General features: G+C 35.9%; 1 protein-coding gene across 14 annotated transcripts in view, besides 3 other annotated features; it reads right to left on the bottom strand.

Moving 5' to 3' along the window:
- ZC3H12B (zinc finger CCCH-type containing 12B) overlaps positions 1-22,383 on the bottom strand; it is a 473,062-nt gene extending 450,679 nt beyond the window's left edge. For 9 of the 14 annotated variants that reach the window (NM_001010888.4, XM_047442075.1, XM_047442077.1 and 6 more), the window contains exon 1: positions 21,940-22,383. The gene's annotated coding sequence lies outside the window, so the exon portion shown is untranslated. The other 5 variants (XM_017029480.2, XM_017029481.2, XM_017029482.2 and 2 more) reach the window with 2 other exon arrangements.
- Positions 21,756-21,815: an enhancer, noted in NCBI's record as "active region_29712". NCBI's record gives its function as "activates an Ori minimal core promoter by ATAC-STARR-seq in GM12878 lymphoblastoid cells {active_cell/tissue: GM12878}" and the evidence as "EXISTENCE:reporter gene assay evidence [ECO:0000049][PMID:35858748]".
- Positions 21,916-22,145: a silencer, noted in NCBI's record as "silent region_20880". NCBI's record gives its function as "represses an Ori minimal core promoter by ATAC-STARR-seq in GM12878 lymphoblastoid cells {active_cell/tissue: GM12878}" and the evidence as "EXISTENCE:reporter gene assay evidence [ECO:0000049][PMID:35858748]".
- Positions 22,206-22,355: a silencer, noted in NCBI's record as "silent region_20879". NCBI's record gives its function as "represses an Ori minimal core promoter by ATAC-STARR-seq in GM12878 lymphoblastoid cells {active_cell/tissue: GM12878}" and the evidence as "EXISTENCE:reporter gene assay evidence [ECO:0000049][PMID:35858748]".

The following is a 22,418-nucleotide window of genomic DNA, read 5'->3' as shown; positions in this document are numbered from 1 at the left end:
CAAAAACATGCCAAATTGTAAAGACCATCAAGGCTAGGAAGAAACTGCATCAACTAATGAACAAAATAACCAGCTAATATCGTGACAAGATCAAATTCACACATAACAATATTAACCTTAAATGTAAATGGGCTAAATGCTCCAATTAAAAGACACAGACTGGCAAATTGGATAAAGAGTCCAGACCTATCACTGTGCTGTATTCAGGAGACCCATCTCACATGCAGAGACACACATAGGCTCAAAATAAAGGGATGGAGGAAGGTCTACTAAGCAAATGGAAAACAAAAAAAGGCAAGGGTTGAAATCCTAGTCTCTGATAAAACAGACTTTAAACCAACACAGATCAAAAGAGACAAGGCCATTACATAATAGTAAAGGGATCAATTCAACCAGAAGAGCTAACTATCCTAAATATATATGCACCCAATACAGGAGCACCCAGATTCATAAAGCAAGTCCTTAGACACCTAGAAAGAGATTTAGACTCCCACACAATAATAATGGGAGATTTTAACACCCCACTGTCAACATGAGACAGATCAATGAGACAGAAAGTTAACAACGATATCCGGGAAATGAACTCAGCTCTGCACCAAGAGGACCTAATAGACATCTACAGAACTCTCCACCCCAAATCAACAGAATATACATTCTTCTCAGCACCACACTGCACTTATTCCAAAATTGACCACATAGTTGGAAGTAAAGCATTCCTCAGCAAATGTAAAAAAACAGAAATTATAACAAACTGTCTCTGAGACCACAGTGCAATCAAACTAGAACTCAGGATTAAGAAACTCACTCAAAACCGCTCAACTACATGGAAACTGAACAACCTGCTCCTGAATGACTACTGGGTACATAAGGAAATGAAGGCAGAAATAAAGATGTTCTTTGAAACCAACGAGAACAAAGACACAACATACCAGAATCTCTGGGACACATTTAAAACAGTGTGTAGAGGGAAACTTATACCACTAAATGCCCACAAGAAAAAGCAGGAAAGATCTAAAATTGACACCCTAACATCACAATTAAAAGAACTAGAGAAGCAAGAGCAAACACGTTCAAAAGCTAGCAGAAGGCAAGAAAGAATTAAGATCAGAGTAGAAATGTAGGAGATACAGACACAGAAAAAACCTTCAAAAAAATCAATGAATCCAGGAGCTGGTTTTTTGAAAAGATCAACAAAATTGATAGACTGCTAGCAAGACTAAAAAAGAAGAAAAGAGAGTAGAATCAAACACATGCAATAAAAAATGATAAAGGGGATATCACCACTGATCCCACAGAAATACAAACTACCATCAGAGAATACTATGAACACCTCTATGCAAATAAGCTAGAAAATCTAGAAGAAATGAATGAATTCCTGGAAACATACATGCTCCCAAGACTAAACCAGGAAGAATTTGAATCTCTGAATAGACCAATAACAGGCTCTGAAAGTGAGGCAATAATTAATAGCATACCAACCAAAAAAAGACCAGGACCAGAAGAATTCAAAGCTGAATTCTACCAGAGGTACAAGGAGGAACTGGTACCATTCCCTCTGAAACTATTCCAATCAATAGAAAAAGAGGAAATCTTCCCTAACTCATTTTATGAGGCCAGTATCATCCTGATACCAAAGCCTGGCAGAGACAAAACAAAACAAAGAGAATTTTAGACCAATATTCTTGATGAACATCCATGCAAAAATCTTCAATAAAATACTGGCAAACCGAATCCAGCAACACATGAAAAAGCTTATCCACCATGATCAAGTGGGCTTCATCCCTGGGATGCAAGGCTGGTTCAACATATGCAAATCAGTAAACGTAATCCAGCATATAAACAGAACCAATGACAAAAACCACATGATTATCTCGATAGATGCAGAAAAGGCCTTTGACAAAATTCAACAGCCCTTTATGCTAAAAACTCTCAATAAATTTGGTATTGATGGGACATATCTCAAAATAATAAGAGCTATTTATGACAAACCCACAGCCAATATCATACTGAATGGGCAAAAATTGGAAGCATTCCCTTTGAAAACTGGCACAAGACAGGGATGCCCTCTCTCACCACTCCTATTCAACATAGTGTTGGAAGTTCTGGCCAGCGCAATCAGGCAGGAGAAGGAAATAAAGGGTATTCAATTAGGAAAAGAGGAAGTTAAATTGTCCCTGTTTGCAGATGACATGATTGTTTATCTAGAAAACCCCATCGTCTCAGCCCAAAATCTCCTTAAGCTGATAAGCAACTTCAGCAGTCTCAGGATACAAAATCAATGTGCAAAAATCACAAACATTCTTATACATCAATAACAGACAAACAGAGAGCCAAATCATGAGTGAACTCCCACTCACAATTGCTTCAAAGAGAATAAAATACCTAGGAATCCAACTTACAAGGGATGTGAAGGACTTCTTCAAGGAGAACTACTAACCACTGCTCAATGAAATAAAAGAGGATACAAAAAAATGGAAGAACATTCCATGCTCATGGATAGCAAGAATCAATATCGTAAAAATGGCCATACTGCCCAAGGTAATTTACAGATTCAACGCCACCCCCATCAAGCTACCAATGACTTTCTTCACAGAATTGGAATAAACTAATTTAAAGTTCATATAGAACCAAAAAAGAGCCCGCATTGCCAATTCAACCCTAAGCCAAAAGAACAAAGCTGGAGGCATCACACTACCTGACTTCAAACTACACTACAAGGCTACAGTAACCAAAACAGAGATATAGACCAATGGAACAGAACAGAGCCCTCAGAAATAATGCCACATATCTACAACTATCTGATCTTTGACAAACCTGACAAAAACAAGAAATGGGGAAAGGATTCCCTATTTAATAAATGGTGCTGGGAAAACTGGCTAGCCATATGTAGAAAGCTGAAACTGGATCCCTTCCTTACACCTTATACAAAAATTAATTCAAGATGGATTAAAGACCTGAATGTTAGACCTAAAACCATAAAAACTCTAGAAGAAAACCTAGGCAATACCATTCAGGACATAGGCATGGGCAAGGACTTCATGTCTAAAACACCAAAAGCAATGGCAACAAAAGCCAAAATTGACAAATGGGATCTAATTAAACTAAAGAGCTTCTGCACAGCAAAAGAAATTACCATCAGAGTGAACAGGCAACCTACAGAATGGGAGAAAATTTTTGCAATCTACTCATCTGACAAAGGGCTAATATTCAGAATCTACAATGAACTCAAATAAATTTACAAGAAAAAAGCAAACAACCCCATCAAAAAGTGGGTGAAGGATATGAACAGACACTTCTCAAAAGAAGACATTTATGCAGCCAAAAGACACATGAAAAAATGCTCATCATCACTGGCCATCAGAGAAATGCAAATCAAAATCACAATGAGATGCCATCTCACACCAGTTAGAATGGTGATCATTAAAAAGTCAGGAAACAACAGGTGCTGGAGGGGATGTGGAGAAACAGGAACACTTTTACACTGTTGGTGGGACTGTAAACTAGTTCAACCATTGTGGAAGTCAGTGTGGCGATTCCTCAGGGATCTAGAACTAGAAATACCATTTGACCCAGCCATCCCATTACTGGGTATATACCCAGAGGAGTATAAATCATGCTGCTATAAAGACACATGCACATGTATGTTTATTGTGGCACTATTCACAATAGCAAAGACTTGGAACTAACCCAAATGTCCAACAATGATAGATTGGATTAAGAAAATGTGGCACATATACACCATGGAATACTATGCAGCCTTAAAAAGTGATGAGTTCATGTCCTTTGTAGGGACATGGATGAAGCTGGAAACCATCATTCTCAGCAAACTATCGCAAGGAAAAAAAACCAAACACCGCATGTTCTCACTCATAGGTGGGAATTGAACAATGAGAACACATGGACATGGGAAGGGGAACATCACACCCTGGGGCCTGTTGCGGGGTGGGGGGAGTGGGGACGGATAGCATTAGGAGATATACCTAATGTAAATAGCGAGTTAATGGGTGCAGCACACCAACATGGCACATGTATACATACGTAACAAACCTGCAGGTTGTACACATGTACCCTAAAACTTAAAGTATAATTAAAAAAAAAGACACACAAATGGCAAACAGGCATGTGAACAATAGAGCAGGAGGGAATACTTCTAAATGGTGAAAAGGATCTCAATGTCATTGATCATCAGAGAAATGCAAATCAAATCTATAAGGAAATATTATCTTACTCCAGTTAAAATGGCTTATATTCAAAAGACAGGCAATAACAAATGCTGGTGAGGATGTAGAGAAAAGTGAACCCTTATATACTGATGGTAAAAAAGTAAATTGACAACTACTATGGAGAATAATGTGGAGGTTCCTTAAAAAACTAAAAATTGAGATAGTGAATACAACAGCAATTCTATTGTTGAGTATATACAGAAAAGAAATGAAATCGGTATGTCAAAGAGATATCTGAACATCTATGGTGGTTGCAGCACTGTTAACAATAGCTAAGATTTGAGAGCACCCTATTTGTCCATCAACAGATGAATGGATAAAGAAAATGGGGCATATATACACAATGGAATACTACTCAACCACAAAAAAGAATGAAATTCAGTCATCTGCAGTGACATAGATGGAACTGGAGATCATTATGTTAAGATAAATAAGCCAGGCACAGAAAGACAAACATAACATTTTTTCACTTATTTGTGGGATCTGATAATCAAAACAATGGAGGCTGGGAAGTAGGGTTCTGGGGGGAGGTGGGTATGTTTAATGGGTACAAAAAAAAATAAAAAGAACGAAGAAGACCTACTATTTGATAGCACAATAGGGTGACTATAATCAATAATAACTTAATTGTACATCTTAAAATAGCTTAAAGAGTGGAATTGTATTGCTTATAACTCAAAGAATAAATTCTTGAGTGGATATATACCCTATTCTCCATGATGTGATTTTTCACATTGGATGTCCGTATCAAAACATATCATGTATCCCAAATATATAAATATCTACTATGTACCCACAAACATTTTAAAAAATAATAATTAGAAAAAGAATTATGGTGGGGCCATGAACTTTGCTAAACAATAGACATAATTAAACAATTACCTGCCATTGCTTTATGTGTTTTTCTATAAGTTGCTTACAGCTGCCGAGTCATGTAACTGGGGGTCACAAGTTTTACACTTCTCCAACTACTCCTATAGATAACATCACTATTATGAAACTTAAAAAAACTGGTCTTTGAGATATTTTTCAGATTTATAAGCAGACCAAGAGCTGACCAAGAGATGCCACCTGGTCCCAAGACAGCCCCCTCCCAGGAACTGACTCAGCTAAGCCGAGACAGTTTTAGGTACCCCTGTGATTTCATCCCCAGTCAATCATTTCTTAAAAGTTTCCTATCCCCTGCCTGCCAAAGTGTCCTTAAAAAAACCTAGCCTCCAAATTCTCAGAGAGATGGGTTTGAGAAGTTTTTTCCCTTTCTCCTTATTTGGCTGGCCCTGCAATTATTAAACTACTTCTTCGCTGAAAAAAAAGTCTTAGGCTGAATCAATTATTTTTAATTTGTTCCTATTGTTAGGTAAAGTATTCTTCCTTATTTGGATGTTTGGAGGATAGTTTCTTTGTTCATATGCTTTTTAAAAATTGCAAAATTTAATCTAGGTGAAATGCCCCTTTTCATTGATTTTTTTCTGGTTCATGATGAATCCTTTCAAACAGAATACAGCATATCCATATTTCTTCCACCTAAAAAAGAAAGAAAGATCTCAATTAACAACTTAACTTTACATCTGAAGGCACTAGAAAAAGAAGAGCAAACTGAGACTAAAGTGAGCAGAAGGAAAGGAATGATAAAAACCAGAGCAGAAATACACAGAGAAGAAAAAAACATAGAAAAGATCAATAAAATTAAAAGCGCTTTTTTGAAAAGATAAAAAATATTGACAAATCTTTAGCTAGCATAAGAAAAGAGAAGACTCAAAACAATCAGAAATGAAAGAGGAAACATAAAAACTGATGCCACAGAAATTAACAGGATTAAAAGAAATCAATATAACCAACTATTTGTCCATAAATTCAATAACCTGAAAGAAATGGATAAATTCCTGGAACTCTATAACCTACCAACGCTGAATCATGAAGAAAGAGAAAATCTGAACATACTTGTAACTAGTAAGAAGATTAAATCAGTTAATAACCCCCCTACAAATAATCCTTCTTAAAGTCTTCCAAAAAAATTGAAGGGGAAGGCATACTTCTAAACTCCTTTTATGAAGACAGCATTACCCTTTTAACAAATCCAGACAAAGACACAAGAAGAAAAGAAATCAATAAGCCAATATATTTGATAAGCATAGATGCAAAAATCTTCAACAAAATACTAGCAAGTCAAATTCAACAGCATATTAAAAAGGATTATAAATCATGGCCAAGTGAGATTTATCCTTGTGAATCCAGGATGGCTAACCATATAAAAAATCACTTAATATGATACATCACATTAAGAAAGTGAAGAATAAAAATTCCATGGTCATCTCAATAGACACAGAAATATTTTTTGACAAAATTCAACACCCTTTTGTGACAAACTCTCAACAAACTAAGAACAAAAGAAAATTGCCTCAACAATTTTCAACAAAACCATATATGGTCAACAAAATCATATATGAAGAGTCCACACCTAACATCATACTTCATGATAAAAAACTGAAAGCTTTTCCTTTAAGATCAGGAACAAGGCAAGGATGCCTGTTGTCACCACTTCTATTCAACATAGCATTGGAAATCCTCTCCAGAGCAATTAGCTAAGAAAAAAAAATGAAAACATCCAATAGAAAAGAAAGTAGAAAAATTATCTCTTTTAGCAGATGAAGTGATCTCATATATAAAAAATCCTAAAGACTCCACAAAAATACCTGTTAGAATAAACAAATTCAATAAAGTTGAAGAACACAAAATCACAAATAAAAAGCAGTTGCACTTCCATAGACTAGGTATTAACAATCCAAAAAAATCAGGACAATTGTATTTTCAATGGCATCAAAAGAATATAATACTTAGAAATAAACTTAACCAAGGTGACAAAGAGCTTTTATAATAGCTTAAAGAAAGTTGGAAAATTCAAAATATGTACATTAAAAAACACACTTTTGAATAACCAATAGGTCAAACAGGAAATCTTAATAAAAATTTCAAAATATCTTCAGACCAACAAAAATGAAAACATAACATACCCAAACTTATGAGATGCAGCAAAAGCAGTACTAATAGGGAATTTTATAGAGATAAAAACATACATTAAAAGAAAGAAAGATCTCAATTAACAACCTAAGTTTACATCTACAAAACTACAAAACATTGTTGGAAGAAACTAAAGAAGACACAAGTAAGTTGGAATACATCTGTATTAATGGATTGGAAGACTTAATAATGTTAAAATGTCCATGTTATCCAAAGCTATCTACAGATTCAATGTGATCCCCATCAAAATCCCAATGGCATTTTTTACAAAAATAGAAAACAATCCTAAAATTCACATAGATCCACAAAGGACTCCCAATAGCCAAAACAATATTGAGAAAGAGCAACAAAGTTGGAGACCTCACACTCCAAGATTTTAAAACATATTACAAAGCTACAGTAATCAAAACAGTATGAAACTGACATAAAGGCAATCATATACCAATTTCGAAAAGAATAGTGAGCCCAAAAACAAACGCACACACATGCAGTCAAATGATATTCAACAATGGTGCCAAGACTACATAATAGGAAAATGATAATCTCTTTAACAGATGGTGCCGGAAAAACTGGATATCTACATGCAAAAGAATGAAATTGGACCCTTATCTTATACAATATACAAAAATCAACTCAATATGGATTAAAGACTTAACTGTAATACCTGAAACTATAAAACTCCTAGAAGAAAACATAAGGAAATAGCTTCATAACATCAGTCTTGGGAATGATTTTTTGGATAAGACACCAAAAGCACAGGCAACAAAAGGAAAAATAGACAAGTGAGACCAAATCAAACTAAAAACCTTCTGCATAGCAAAGGAACACATCAACAGAGTTAAAGGAAACCCACGGAATGGGAGAAAATATTTGAAAACCTACACAACTGATAAGGAGTTAATATCCAAACTATAAAAGGAACTTGTACAACTCAATAGAAAAAATGAACTGATTATAATATGAGAAAAGGACTTGAATAGATATTTCTCCAAAGAAGACATGCAAATGGCTAAGAAGTATATGAAAAGATGCTCAACATCACTAATCATCAGAGAAATACAAATCAAAACCAAAATGAGTGATCACCTCATGCCTATTAAAATGGCCATGATTAAAACAAAACAAAACAAAAACCAGAAAGTAACTAGTGTCGTACATTAGGTCTTACAAACATGATATCTATAGGTAATAGTAGTGCACTGTATTCATGATTTTTGCCAAATGAACAGATTACAGCTGCTCATGCCACAGGAGGGAAAACAGGTAACTATATGAGATGACCCAATATGTTGATTTGTTTCACTATAGTAATATTTTTACTATATATGTGTACCTCATAACATCATTATATATGTATACCTCACTTATGTATAATAAAATTTACTTTAAAAAGGAAATAACAAGTGTTATTGAAAAATTGGAACTCTTGTGCACTGTTGTTGGGACTATATAATGGTGTAGCCACTTTGGAAAACAGTATGGAGGTTCCTCAGAAAATTAAAAATATAACTACCATATGATCTTGTAACCCCACTGCTAAGTATTTATCCAAAAGAATTGAAAACAGTATCTAGAAGAGATATTTGCACTCCTATCTTCATTGTAGCATTATTTACAATAGCCAGGACGTGTAAACAACCTAAATGTCCATCAATGGATGAATAGATACAGAAAATGTGGCATATGTGCATAATAGAATATTATTCAGCTTCTAAAAAGAAGAAAATCCTGTCATATCCAGTCATACAATCCAGGCATACAACATGAGAATCCTGAGGACTTTATGCTAAATGAAATAAACTAGTCACAGAAGGACAAATACTACATTATTTCAGTTATAGGAGGTACATAAAAGTAATCAAATTGATAGAACCCAGGGAAACGGGGAAATGTGGAGATGCTGTTCAATGAGTATAGAGTTTTAATCATGCAAGATACAAAGTTTTAGATATCTTCTGGACATTAATGTGCATATAATTTATAATACTGTACTGTACACTCAAAATTTTCTTAAGAGGGTAGATACCATGTTATTTCTTACCACAATTTTAAAAATTAAAGACTTAGCCCCAACATATGAATAATTATTTTAATATAAACTAGTCTAAATATACCAATTAAAAGATAGAGACTGGCAGAGTAGTTTTTCTTTTAAAAAAAAAACTTAGCCCAACTATATGCAGTCTACAAGAAATTCACTTTAAATACACCTACATGGGTAGGCTGAAAGAAAATGGATGGAAAAATATATATCATTGAAATATGAATTTTTTGAAAATACCAGTACATATACTAATATCAGATAAAGGAGACTTCAGAGCAAAGAAAATTACTAGGAAGAAAGAGGGACATTATATAATATTCATGAAATAGCAGAATTACAGAGAAAGACAGAACAAATTAGAGATCAGATGTTTGAGAAGGAAAAGGAGGTGAGTGTGTCTTTATAAAGTGTTAGCCTGAAAGAGCCTTTGGAGTGGTGACAATTGTTAGAAACTATACATGTGAGAAAATGAGTAGAGCTATACACACACACACACATACACAGAGTGCTTACAAAAGTAAGGAAAACTGAATTAGATAAACATTAGTTTCCTGGTTTCTGTATCATACTGTAGTTATGCAACATAATGAAGTGGGCTAGGTGAGCTATGAACAGGATCTCCCTGTACATTTATTGCAACTTTCTATGAATCTTCATTTCAAAAATAATATGCAGGGGTACCTCATTTTATCACGATTTGCAGATACTGTGTTTTTTGTTTTTTGTTTCCAAACTGAAGTTTTGTGGCAACCCTGCATTGAGCAAATCTATTGGCACAATTTTTACAAAAGCATGTGCTCACTTCATGTCTCTCTTACATTTTGTTAACTCTCATAATATTTCAAACTTTTTCATTATAATTATATCTGTTATGGTGATCTGTGATCAGTGATTTCTGATGTTACTATTGTAATTGTTTGGGGGCACCACAAACAAGTCCCCATAGAAGATGGCAAACATAATCAATAAATATGTACATGTTCTGATTGCTAAACTGGCCATTCCCACATCTCTCTCCCTCCCCTCGGGCATCCCTATCCTGTGAGACATAACAATATTGAAATCATGATAATTAATAACCCTACAATGGCCTTTTAAGTGTTCAAGTGAAAGGAAGAGTAGCACATCCCTCACTTTAAATCAAAGGCCAGAAATCATTATGCTTAGTGAAGAAGGCATATCAAAAGCCAAGATAGGCCAAAAACTAGGTCTCTTGTGCCAAACAGCTAGCCAGACTGTGAATGTAAAGGAAAAGTTCTTAAAGGAAATTAAAATGCTGCTCACTGGACACATGAATAATAAAACAGCAAAACAGCCTATGGCTGTTAAGACAGTTTTAGCGGTCCAGATGAAAAACCAAACCATCCACATTTCCTTGAACCAAAGCTTAATACAGAGGAAGGCCCTAACTCTTTTTAATTCTATGAAGGCTGAGGGAGGTGAAGAAGCTGCAGAAAAAAAGTTGGAAGCTAGCAGAAATTGATTCATGAGGTTTGAGGCAAGAAGCTGCAACCATAATATAAAAGTGCAAGGTGAGGCATCAAGTGGTGCTGAAGAAGCTGCAGCAAGTTATCCAGAAGATCTAATTAAGATAATGGATGAAAGTAGCTACATTAAACAACAGACTTACAATGTAGATAAAACAGCCTTCTATCGGAAGAAGATGCCATCTAGGACTTTCACAGTTAGAGAGAAGTCAATGTCTGGCTTCAAAGCTTCAAAGGACAGGCTGAATCTCCTGTTATGGGCTAATGTAGATGGTGATTTTAAATTGAAGCTAATGCTCATTTGCCATTCCAAAAATCCTAGGGCCCATAATAATTATGTTAAATCTACTCTGTCTGTGCTTTATAAATGGAACAATAAAGCCTGGAGGACAGCACATCTGTTTATAGCATGGTTTACTGAATATTTTAAGCCCACTGTTGAGACCTACTGCTCCCAAGAAAATATTCCTCTTAACATATTACTGCTCATTGAAAATACACCTAGTCACCCAAGAGCTCTGATGGATGTGTACAAAGAGATTAATGTTGTTTTCACGCTTGATAACATAACATCCCTTCTGCGGTCCATGAATCAAGGAGTAATTTGGATTTTCAAGTTTTACTATTTAAGAAATACATTTCATGAATCTACGGCTGCCAGAGACAATGATTCCTCTGCTGGATCTTGAAAATCTGGAAACAATACATCATTCTAAATGCCATTAAGAACATTTTGCTTCATGGAAGGAGTTCAAAATGTCAACATTAACAGGAATTTGAAAGAAGTGGATCCAATCCCCATGGATTATTTTGACAGGTCCAAGACTACACCAGAATAAGTAACTAGATTTGGTAGAAATAGCAGAAGAATTAGAATCAGAAGGGGAGACAGAAGGTGTAATTGAATTGCTTCAATCTCATGCTAAAACAATAATGGATGAGGAGTTGCTTCTTATGAATGAGCAAAAAAAGTGGTTCCTTGAGATGGAATCTACTGCTGGAGAAAATGCTAGGAACACTATGGAAGCAACTACAAAGAATTAAGAATATTACATAAACGTTTTTGATAAAGTAGCAGCAGGATTTGATAGGACCGACTCTAATTTTGAAAGAAGTTCTACAGTGGGTAAAATGTTGTCAAGCAGCATCACATGCTACAGATAAACCTCTTGTGAAAGAAAAAGTCTATTGATGCAACAAACTTCCTTTTTTGTCTTATTTTAAGAAAATGATGTAGCCACTCCCACCTTCAAGAACCACCACCCTGATCAGTCAGCAGCTATCTACATCAAGGAAAAATCCTCCACCAGCAAAAGGATTACAACTCACCGACAGCTCAAGTGATTCTTGGCATTTTATTTAGTAATAAAGTATTTCTTAATTAAAAGAATTAAGATTTTTTAGACATAGTGCTATTGTACACTTCAGAGACTGATGTATAGTATAAACATAACTTTTTTTTTTTTTTAAGTAGGGATGAGGTCTTGCTATGTTGCCCACCCTGGTATCAAACTCCTGAGCTCAAGCAATCCTCCCACCTCAGCCTCCCAAAGTGCTGGAATTACAGGTGTGAGCCACCACTCCTGGCCATAAATATAACTTTTATATGTACTAGGAAACTGAAAATGTGTATGACTTGCTTTATTGTGATACTCACTTTATTGTGGTCATCTGAAACTGAACCTGCAATATCTGAGGTGTGACTGTACATATGTATTTCTGTGTGTGTGTGTCTATATCTTCATAATCTGACTAATTTTCACTTTCCCCAGTACTACTACCCTAATCCAACCATTTTCTCTCGCCTGGGTTACTGTAACATCCTCTTTAATTGGTCTCCCTGCTTATTCTCTTGCTCTTTCCATGTGGAAGCCAGAATATTCTCTTTACATATAAATCAAATCAAGTCAATATTCTCTCTTTACATATAAATCAAATCAAATCACCCTCTCTCAATTTTTCAATGCCTTCCCATCATATAGAATAAAATCCCAAATTCCTATTTTGTCCTACAAAAGTCTATATGTTTTGGCCTCTGAATACATCTCTGGCCTTATTTTCTCCCACTGTCTCACTCACTCTCTACATTCTGGATACATTAACCTCCTTGATATTCATTGAACATACCAAGCAGGCTCCCACCTCAGGGCCATTGCATATTCTATTCTTTCTGCCTGAAATGTTCTTCCTCCAGATATTCACATGTCCTACGCCCTTGCTTCATTCAGGTCTTTGCTTAATGTCACCCCATCAGATACCCTTTCTTGACCACTGTATCTAGAATAGCATCATCTATTGCTCCTTATTCCCTTATCTTGTTTTATCAGCCTTATAGCTCTTATCATTATCTGATGGTATATATTACGTATTATTTGCTTATTCACTGTCTGTAACATCCTCTAGATTGCAAACTTCATGAGTGTAGGGTCTTTGTTCTGTTTACCACTGTATCCCTAGTGCCTAAAACAGGGCTGTGCATGTAGCAACGCTCAATAAATGTTGAATGAATGTATAGATCAAAAGGAAAAAACTGATTTGATTACAATCTAGGTTTCCTGGTAGCCAAGATATCATATTTATATCATTGCTTCTTTAAGTGTAGCAACTTTATATTATATAATCAAATTAATTATTTGTTCTTCAAATATTTTCTTTTCTTATGTCTTTTAAGATTTTATTTTTGAAAAAATCAGATATTACCTATGGGCTTCTGATATTATTTCGGTTTCACTGTATTGACATGGGGAAATTGTTTTGCTTTACCTCTTTATTTACTTGCTTAGACAAAAATATCTATCAAACATTGCTGCATATTTTATGAGACTTCTTTTAAAGTGTGTTAACATTTTATCAGATACTCTGGTTAATGGGATGCTAGTATCTAGGAAAAACTAGAAACCACAAGGTTCAGATTATAGTCACAGCTTTTCTATTAATATTTTGTATTAACTTATATAATTATATATAGAAATTTATATATAAAAACCTTAGATGTTTTCATATTTTTATAAATTATCTCTGGGTCTCAATTTGCTTCTCCTTAAAATGAGGAGGGTAGATAATATGATCTCTAATGTTCATTATTGTTCTATGAATGAAGATAAACATATGGCAAATGTGCTCTACTTTGCTTTTTTTTAAGAAACATACATGTGTCTTCATATAGTTTATTCCATGCACCACAGTTTATACTTCGTGGTAGACACTACTTGAGATTCTGTTTAGCCCACAATCTTCCCTTCTCTGGGAATTGTATGTCCCTTCACTTAGGGTTGGGGCCTAATAACCATATTTATATGACATGATCTTGCCCCTCTAGCCATGGATAATCAGATCCTGGCTGGACATATAGCCCAACCTATGTCAATCAGAATTGAGAATTGGAATTCGTAGATATTGAGTCTCTTCTGATTGCCTGAATTTAGAATATGTAAACTTGGGATCTCTTGAATAAACCAGGTTTGGCTGTGTGCTGATTAAGTGAGAATAATGAAGTAGATACACTGAAAGAAACAAAGATAAACAGAAGACCCTATAGCCCCAGGGGTGTTGAAGGAGAAGAGAAAGAGGGAGGAAAATTCCCTTAGCTATGGACAGCTGGTCAACCTAGTTGAAGTCTCTCATGCACCTAGACTACACTTTCTGCACTTTCTTTTTCCTCTTATACTTAAAATAAACTCTTTTTTTCTTTAAGCTAGTTTGAAGTACACCTTTATTATGTACAACCAAAAATCCTTAATCAAGACACACACAACTGGGTCAGTGGTTCACAAACAAATTATGTGTAAAGTACAACCTAAAATTTTGGACATCTTACACAAAGCATTTCTGCTTCAGTTTCATTACATACTTAAATTAATCCTTAGTAATTAGAAAATTCAGGAGCCAAGTTATTGTATTCCATAGCCTTTAGTTAACTGAGTTTCAGGGCTATCTAGATTAGAAACATTTGTATTCAAATGTAAATATAAAATTATCTTTCAAAATCAAAAGTTTTTATTTTTTTCTAAGCTTATACTCCCCTGTTAGCACAGATTACTAAGAATCAAATAGATTTCACTAATTCCTATTCTGCATTCAGTGTTCAGCTGTGAGAAAACTGTTACATGAATACTCAGTCTCTCTTCCTCTCATCCATAAATACACAAAGTGCCAAGTTTTTTCACACATGTCATAGGAATGGAAAAGGGAGTGGGAGACGGAGAAAATTATAATTAGTTTTCCAAACAGCTAAGTTTTTATTCTAGTCAATCCAATAACCTGTGTACTATTCCTTCCCTTACTCTTAAGATCTAAAATCTGTAAGTAAAGAGCAATGAGTTACACAATAGAGGCAAATTATCATTACTGTGATAGGCATGAAGCAAAGAACTAGCTTTTTTTCCCTTCTTAAAAGAGTGTAAGTAGTAAATAACATGCCTCTAGCAACTCTAGTATTAGGTGTAGTTGTGCTCTATGGACAGCTTCACCCTAGTTCAAGTCTTTAACAAGTTAACCTTGTAACTTTAATAAGTTAGCCAGACTGGAAGTTCCAGTTTATTGTCAGAAGAATTTCATCTCAGAACATCAGAAATGCTGGATTTTAGTGCTTCTTGCATCGTAACAAAAATAGAACAAATCAGTACCAATATGCATGCACTCATTATATGATTATTATTTCAGAACTGGGGAAGAAGAAGGTCCTGAAGTTTTACTACTTTTAGAGCTGCAGCAACACCATCAACATACAAAGACTACTAAGTGTAACTTTTAATGCACACTTTACTTTCTTACTCTGATTAATTGATAGGAAGAGTTTGTAAGTGCACAGAATTTACATGCAGATAACATTGCTACTACAGTTTTTAAAACATCTGAAAGCAGTTTACCATAACCTACCTCAATTTTGCTTACACTAAGTGACGTTCAAATCCTTTTTCTTGTAAACAGCCCAATACAGTTAATGGCTCTGATTAGTAATAGAGCACTTAGAAGATTTTTTAAATACACAAAACCTAGATGTTCCTCCCTTCTTATAACTTATTTTAATTCAGTATCATATGCAGATACCCAGTAAAAAAGCTCCAATGCTGCCTAACCTCTGGTAGGACTCTGGCTGCTTCTCCTGTAGAGTGTAATTCATTTTTAGCACGACTACTATATATATCTAGCCTATAACAAGTCCTTGGTTAGTGGGGCCTGAATTAATGAAATTTTGTTGTACTGTAATTTGGACCCCACTGATTCAGAATTTGTAATAATTCAGAAAGAAGCTGAAATTAAAGTGACTTTAGGGTTATTTTTGAATAAAGAGTTTGCTGAACAAATTTAAAAACAAGATAGTAGAAAGGATATTAAAACTACTGAAAAGAACAAATGTGGCTGGGCACGATGGCTCACGCCTGTAATCCCAGCACTTTTGGAGGCCGAGGTGGGCGGATCACTTGAGCTCAGGAGTTCAAAACTGGCCTAGGCAACATGGTGAAACCCGGTCTCTACTGAAAATAGAGCTGGGCGTGGTGGCGCACACCTGTAGTTCCAGCTGCTCAGGAGGCTGAGGTGGGAGGATCGCTTGAGCCAGGGAGGCAGAAGTTGCAGTGAGCCGAGATCATGGCACTGCACTCCAGCCTGGGGAACAGAGTGACACACTGTCTCAACTCCCCCCTCCCAAAACAAAACAAAAGAACTAAACAATGCTTCCAAGCAACTTTAAGGACTTTAGAAATATCTCTTTACATATAATCCATTGACTCACTAATGATAAATCATTCTCATATATTTATTAAATCAAGATCCCTAAGGGATCTTGTCCTAATCCTGATTAATACATGTACAAGAAAACCGTAAAAACTGCAGTTCATAAAAAAAATCTAAAATTCAAAACTTCACTCATTTTAGACTTCTTCTCCCTAAATTACTGCAAATTAAGAAAAATTTGAAACATATAAAATCTAAGACTCATTTTTCTCATACCCCTATTTTTTTTCCTTGTTTCTACAGACTCACAGGTATCTGAACAAATTTGGCAGCAACAACTATGTAATCCAAGATTAAATCTATTGATAATAAGCAAAAAAAAAAAAAACAGTTAATGATAGTCCTAAAAGTATGCAGGAAGAGAAACAGAATATAAGGATCTATGTGCACATTTAAAGATTAAACTCAGCAAGAATCATTACATATATTAGTATATAATATATACCCAGCCCTGAAAAGGGCAAGGAGCAACTTAAAAGTAATGAGACTGGCTTATATATGACCTGTGGAATGAAACTTATTACTTATGTCACACCCCCATATGTCAACTAGTATTCAATTTGAAAGAAAAATTAATTCCAAAAAGATGGTAAGAAATGTCACATAATATAAAAAATAACTATTTGAATTCATCTGATGAAAGATGCTACATAAATACAAAGCAGTAGTAATAAGACAGCCTGGAAGAACAGAGAAGTTATTCCTCTTTATTCTAAAATGAAAAAGTTCATAAGTATAACTACATAAAGTTTAGATGGTAAACACGCAATGAGGAAATCTGAAACAATCCAAATGAAAGGATCCCTACTTTTATTCCAGAAGGACCCAACCCCTTCTGACCTTTTACCTCCTAGGGTAAAGAAAATAAATTATTTTTGAAATAAAAACCTAGTGACTCAAAAATTGCCTGATTTAGTCACAGTATTTTAAAAGAACCTGGACAATTCTTCCTCTGAATACCACTTCCAGTCAAATCACCCAGTTTTAAATGCAGTTTATCCAATATGGGTTTGGCTTTTTAGACAATCACAGAAAATCTTTCCTAAATAACTTTATAAAAAGATAGATATCTTTTGTGAAACTAATTTAAAGGCCAAAGAAGCAGCTGAAGAGTGACAGTGAGAACAAATCAATATACACAGTAGTTAGGAAAAGTAGAAGTGAGGTACAGAAAGTGAGCATAATGAGGAGCTATGTAATTCAAGGCTGTGAAAGGTTATAGTGATAATAATACTGTACAATGGCTTTAAGTGAATAGTATTTTAGAAATATATCCATTTTCACATTATTAATCATGTCAAAATTCAATTTCAGGTTTCAGTTAATATTTATTGCATTTTAAAAATTGTTACAAAAAACTTATTACAGTAGAATACTATCAGTAACAAAGTTAATCTTCCTGTCAAATCCCAGTGGTGCACTTGTCAATAGGAAAATACGAATGAGTCAGACTACAAGGGAACTTTCCGATACCAAGAGTCTAAAAGGGATTAACAATTCATAAGATATGATACTGAGAGAATAACTGTGTATGAGACAGCTCCTGTGGATATTAGTTTACAACTTATATATGAAGGTGTTTGATTTATTTTCTTTGTGGATACCACACTTTAAGAAGGAATGGTAGTCTCCACTTTTTTTTTTCCTACATTGAATTGGCTATAGGTATCTTTCACTTAGTAAAAAATGCTATGCTCCAGGAAAACTTGCTCTTAAAAAGAATTGCTGGGAAAAAGACATTTATCTCATAAACTTCCATCATACAATTGAGAGATCTGTGCTCAGCTGGGAAAATTTTTAGTCCAATGATATAATAAAGATCATAGTTTAGCATATGGTAATTCTTTTAAAACTACGTATTTAAGGAAAATTATAACTTATAGATGCATCAGTGGTACTCAATGTAATACTGTCCTACCTCCAGACTCAGTCATTAGGTAAAAATATTGAGAATGACCCTATGTTACTTAACAGAGACTGACAGTTCTTTACCCTATTTTACATGCTGCCACCACTGAGGTTTAGCAATTTAACTAACATGTGTACCTGCCTTAAATCGCCACAGTACTTACAATTTGACATACGAGGTAATTTTAATTTTCTTGGCAGTTTCCCTCCTCTTTCCAAAGATCATCCCTTTGATACTGTCATAAGACCAGAAATGTACAATAGTTACTTAGCAAAAATGATTTACTCCAATGCCTTCTCCATATATTTTGCTATCTGTTAACTGGTTAATTTCCAGCAATAATCATAGCTATTTGCTGACTGTGTCCAGATAAGCCATTCTGTTCTCTAATAACTTGTTTATTTAATAGCTAATGTGCTAAGCAGAGGATGTTCAAAATAACAATTATATTTGTTGAGCCTAGAAACTATTAGCTACTGTGAATTAAAGTTAACTTTAATCAAAGAAGACTACTGCTGGCAGCAAAAGATACCAAAAAAAAGGTACAGAAGGTGTATAAAGCCTCAAAAATTTCAAGTTTGAGTATATTGTTCCTCAGAGTAAATCTGTGAATTCTTTATATTTGGAATTCTAATATGTGAATTTCTGTTAGGAGACATACCTCTCTACGGATGGAATAACTCCATACCTCGTTATTTTTCTGTGTAAATGTCAACTTACAATGGCTGACTAAAACCTAGGAGACAATTAGTCATCTGACTAATTTTCAATATAGCGGAAGGTTGTTAGAAATGTACCAAAATAAGCTTTGCAGAGGTTTGTAATTGCAGTTTAAACATTGATGTTGTCAATTATTAATATATACATTAATAACATGATATTAGAACTTTGACAGATATGAATTTGTGGGACTCTGACATACCCCTCCCTTTGTTTTCAGAAAATGGTAGCAATAGCAGTACTAAATGTAGTACTAAAAACTAAGTTATCATATACTAATGAATCAAAATGAATGTTGCTTATAAAATTTCCCTAATTTATTTTATCAAGAAATAGTCTTTGGAGCATATTAATAATCTAATGTACTATCAGACCAGTGTTGTATGAAACACTTAGAATATAACTGTCTCTTAATAGACAGTAAAAAAAAATGTACAGGTTACAAAAACATGTGAACTTAACACTCTACCTATATCTGCTTAGAAAACATTCTCACTTGCCTCAGGAAATAGGATGATTATTTTAAAGCCTGATTTCTATAGCATGTATATCTGTGAAATTATATTTAATTTGTTAATTTAGTATGTAGTTTATCATAGAAAATTATGCCCACTACAAAGAAGTTAATTGCCACTGACAGTCCTCTTCTCCTTTAGGTTTACCTAGGAGAAAATATGCAAAAGGATTAGAAAATCAAGTGCCTTAGCTCATGCTATGCTGAACTCTTCCACCTTCTAAGAAAGCTTATACTTCTATTAAGAGCCAAATCAAGTATGACTTTCTCTACAAAGCTTTCTCAGAAAAATCCAGCCTACAGTATTCTCCCTTTACTCTTAACTCTTTCAGTCCTTATTCAATATGACTCTGTTCCAATTGTTGACCATGGTGTCTCATATATGTATTTTCCTTTTTCCAATGGCTAAGCAATTTACCCATCGGTAATTTACCATTGGGTAAGCAATTTACCCAACTGGTAAATTGCTGTTTCTGTTCTATTCTCCACAATACCTGGTATAGTAGTAGGCATTCATTAGAAGCTAGAAAATAAAAACTTGTTGAAAGTCACTTTAAAAAAAAAAAAAAACTTCATTCCAGAGTTCACTGAACAAGTGCTTTGATAGCATTTGCAAAATAAGCCATCAATTTTATTTTATAATGTGATTACGACACCCTAGGTAAATGCTCTTAAGAGTATGCGGCATCTTCATAGTCATACTCACTTCAATGGAATACTAGATTGGATTCAAATTACTGCAGGGTTCTCTAAGTATGTGAAGGTGAAGAGCAAGTATTCATATGATACACTATTATTTCAAATAATTCAGACTTAAATTCATCAAAAGCTTTTCCAAAACAAAAAAAAAATTACCTTTGGAATCTAGCAACTAGAAGCATGTCAGCTTGCTAATGCACAAAACAAACAATACTCTCTGAGGTTATTTTGCAGTGGTACTAGAATTATATTGTGCTTTAATTTAAACTATACCCCCAAAGAACCTCAAACAACATGAAAGCTCCCAAAGCAAAGCATTTTACCCCAAACTAACAAAGTTTGCGGTCTTGACAGATTCACCCAATAAATTTAATCATAAATGGCATCTATATATCCTTTTTAAAAATCTTTAGCTCAAAAGCATTTACAAAAAAAAGAAAATTTAGCTTTTCCATTATTACGCTTCTCTCTCGCCACGTCTTATCAGATAAACGAAACCTGAAATGGCTTAAAAACCAATAGGGAGGGAAAAGAACCCATCTTTTGTCTGCTCACAGAACTATCTTACAATCAAAATTACTAATCTAAATTCAGTATGCTTTTGATAGGTGTCATCTGTGGACTGTAAGTTTTTTCAACCACTTACTTTTAAGAAAACAACCTCATTCATCAAAGATAATGTTGCTAATTTTCAAAAAAGCACCTCACAACTTTAGAACCTCATCTAATCACCTTGTCCAGAATATCACTTCCGGTGCCTCATGCCAATGTTTTCTGGAACCGACTATCTTCAACTGCAGGCTACCTCAGGAAGAACAGATATATCACAACCCATCCTCGCTTTTATTGGGGATATTTTAGGTTTCATCATCGTATTTATAATAAAAAAGAAGTATGCCATTCTGGATGAAAAGTAGTTTGTAAAACCAGTTTCCCCTATTATGAATCAGCCATTCTGCCTACTTCTCAAGTTTGATAGCACTTTAGAAGTCAAATGGAGTGTGTGTTTGTTTTATTATTTTTATTATTTAATATAAGTACTATCTTCCTAACGTACATGTCAGGAGTCAGAAGCCAGGCACAAGGCTTTCGGGAGGTCTTAGCACACGAGTAGCAACAACACTGAAAAGTAAGGGGCCACTCCAGCTATGTGTTCAAACCTTGAGGCATGGAGCGACAGCAGCCCGGGGAATGGGCTCCTGAGAAGCCCGCGGTCAGGCTGAGCCTCCTGAGAGAGCGAGAGCCAGAGCCAGAGCGAGGGGAAAGGGGCGAGCACGGCACTGGGAGAGTCTGTCCACGAATCAGGAATCAGGCTGCGTGACTGTACGTAGAATTATCAGCATCTATGGCATCTAAGAAGCAAAGCCAGGCCTTAAGCACCCACCCCGCATTCCTGGACGCCAGGGTTGAGACCAAAAAGTGGTGGCTATGAGAAGGAAAACTACCTCGAAGGGAATAGAGAGCCGCGAGCAGATGTGGGAGAGGCGTCAGAAGCTTCTGCAGGAGAAAGCAGCGATTCGCTCGCCTCCTGGGGCCACGGAGGCCGGAAAGGCGCACTAGAACCGAGCGAGTGCGGTGCCACTACTCACCCCTACTCTCCTATGGTCCCCGTCGTCGCCCTGCTCGACGCAGCCCCTGCAGGGGGGAGCCCCTCCCCCGCCCGCCGCAGGGGGTGGGCTCGGCGGGCGAGAGAAGGCGGCGGCGCAGGTGTCCAACAGCCGGGGCCAGAGAGGAGCTGGGTGCAAGGGAGACAGCTTGGTGCCTTGCGCTCCGTGGCGCCGCCAACTTCACCACCATCGACGTGGAGGGACGAGGGGAGGCGATGGGGGGAAGGCGCTCGCCCAGCGGCCCGGACCCTCCTGGGGTACTAGGCCTGAGCCTCTGGAGGGACCGCCGTTACCAGTCCCCTCAGCGATGCGACCCCCAGGCCTGATTCCAGTCCCTGGGCCCCCCTGGCCACAGAGCAGCGGCGGCTCCCTCTTGGGGCCGCGGTCGCAGCTGCATCCTCCTGCTCCTCCTCCTCTGGCGCCTCTGCCTACACACACAGCCCCGGCGCGGTTATCGCCGC

Source organism: Homo sapiens, chromosome X (assembly GCF_000001405.40).
Source record: "Homo sapiens chromosome X, GRCh38.p14 Primary Assembly".
Taxonomy (NCBI): Eukaryota; Metazoa; Chordata; class Mammalia; order Primates; family Hominidae; genus Homo; species Homo sapiens.
Note: the sequence above shows the minus strand (reverse complement) of the source record. Positions and strands in the feature narration are given on the sequence as shown.